At 46.6% G+C, this 2,051-nt stretch overlaps 1 annotated feature.

The window, feature by feature from the left end:
- Nucleotides 232-737: an enhancer, noted in NCBI's record as "NANOG-H3K27ac-H3K4me1 hESC enhancer chr1:176282688-176283193 (GRCh37/hg19 assembly coordinates)". NCBI's record gives its function as "activates a minimal SCP1, AML or CMV promoter by ChIP-STARR-seq in primed H9 embryonic stem cells {active_cell/tissue: H9 hESC(primed)}" and the evidence as "EXISTENCE:reporter gene assay evidence [ECO:0000049][PMID:30033119]".

Below are 2,051 nucleotides of genomic sequence, written 5' to 3'. Positions count from 1 at the left end.
GAGTGCCAGACAGTGGGCGCAGGTCAGTGGGTGCCCGCACCATGCGCGAGCTGAAGCAGGGCGAGGCATTGCCTCACTTGGGAAGCGCAAGGGGTCAGGGAGTTCCCTTTCCTAGTCAAAGAAAGGGGTGACAGATGGCACCTGGAAAATCGGGTCACTCCCACCCGAATACTGCGCTTTTCCGACCGGCTTAAAAAATGGCGCACCAGGAGATTATATCCAGGAACGTGGCTCCGCGGGTCCTACGCCCACGGAGTCTCGCTGATTGCTAGCACAGCAGTCTGAGATCAAACTGCAAGGCGGCAGCGAGGCTGGGGGAGGGGCACCTGCCATTGCGCAGGCTTGCTTAGGTAAACAAAGCAGCCCCGAAGCTCAAACTCAGTGGAGCCCACCACAGCTCAAGGAGGCCTGCCTGCCTCTGTAGGCTCCACCTCTGGGGGCAGGGCACAGACAAACAAAAAGACAGCAGTAACCTCTGCAGACTTAAATGTCCCTGTCTGACAGCTTTGAAGAGAGCAGTGGTTCTCCCAGCACGCAGCTGGAGATCTGAGAACAGGCAGACTGCCTCCTCAAGTGGGTCCCTGACCCCTGACCCCTGAGCAGCCTAACTGGGAGGCACCCCACAGCAGGGGCAAACTGACACCTCACACGCCCTGGTACTCCAACAGACCTGCAGCTGAGGGTCCTGTCTGTTAGAAGGAAAACTAACAAACAGAAAGGACATCCACACCAAAAACCCATCTGTACATCACCATCATCAAAGACCAAAAGTAGATAAAACCACAAAGATGGGGAAAAAACAGAGCAGAAAAACTGGAAACTCTAAAAAGCAGAGCGCCTCTCCTCCTCCAAAGGAACACAGTTCCTCACCAGCAATGGAACAAAGCTGGATGGAGAATGACTTTGACGAGTTGAGAGAAGAAGGCTTCAGACAATCAAATTACTCTGAGCTACGGGAGGAAATTCAAACCAAAGGCAAAGAAGTTGAAAACTTTGAAAAAAATTTAGAAGAATGTATAACTAGAATAACCAATACAGAGAAGTGCTTAAAGGAGCTGATGGAGCTGAAAACCAAGGCTCGAGAACTGCGTGAAGAATGCCGAAGCCTCAGGAGCTGATGCAATCAACTGGAAGAAAGGGTATCAGCGATGGAAGATGAAATGAATGAAATGAAGTGAGAAGGGAAGTTTAGAGAAAAAAGAATAAAAAGAAACGAACAAAGCCTCCAAGAAATATGGAACTATGTGAAAAGACCAAATCTACATCTGATTGGTGTACCTGAAAGTGACAGGGAGAATGGAACCAAGTTGGAAAACACTCTGCAGGATATTATCCAAGAGAACTTCCCCAATCTAGCAAGGCAGGCCAACATTCAAATTCAGGAAATACAGAGAACGCTACAAAGATACTCCTCGAGAAGAGCAACTCCAAGACACATAATTGTCAGATTCACCAAAGTTGAAATGAAGGAAAAAATGTTAAGGGCAGCCAGAGAGAAAGGTTGCGTTACCCTCAAAGGGAAGCCCACCAGACTAACAGCAGATCTCTCAGCAGAAACTCTACAATCCAGAAGAGAGTGGGTGCCAATATTCAACATTCTTAAAGAAAAGAATTTTCAACCCAGAATTTCATATCCAGCCAAACTAAGCTTCATAAGTGAAGGAGAAATAAAATCCTTTCCAGACAAGCAAATGCTGAGAGATTTTGTCACCACCAGGCTTGCCCTAAAAGAGCTCCTGAAGGAAGTGCTAAACATGGAAAGGAACAACCAGTACCAGCCACTGCAAAATCATGCCAAAATGTAAAGACCATCAAGACTAGGAAGAAACTGCATCAACTAACGAGCAAAATAACCAGCTAACATTATAATGACAGGATCAAATTCACACATAACAATATTAACTGTAAATGTAAATGGACTAAATGCTCCAATTAAAAGACACAGACTGGCAAATTGGATAAAGAGTCAAGACACATCAGTGTGTCGTATTCAGGAAACCCATCTCACGTGCAGAGACACACGTAGGCTCAAAATAAAAGGATGGAGGAAG

Source organism: Homo sapiens, chromosome 1 (assembly GCF_000001405.40).
Source record: "Homo sapiens chromosome 1, GRCh38.p14 Primary Assembly".
Classification (NCBI taxonomy): domain Eukaryota; kingdom Metazoa; phylum Chordata; class Mammalia; order Primates; family Hominidae; genus Homo; species Homo sapiens.
This window is presented reverse-complemented; position numbering and strand designations above follow the sequence as displayed.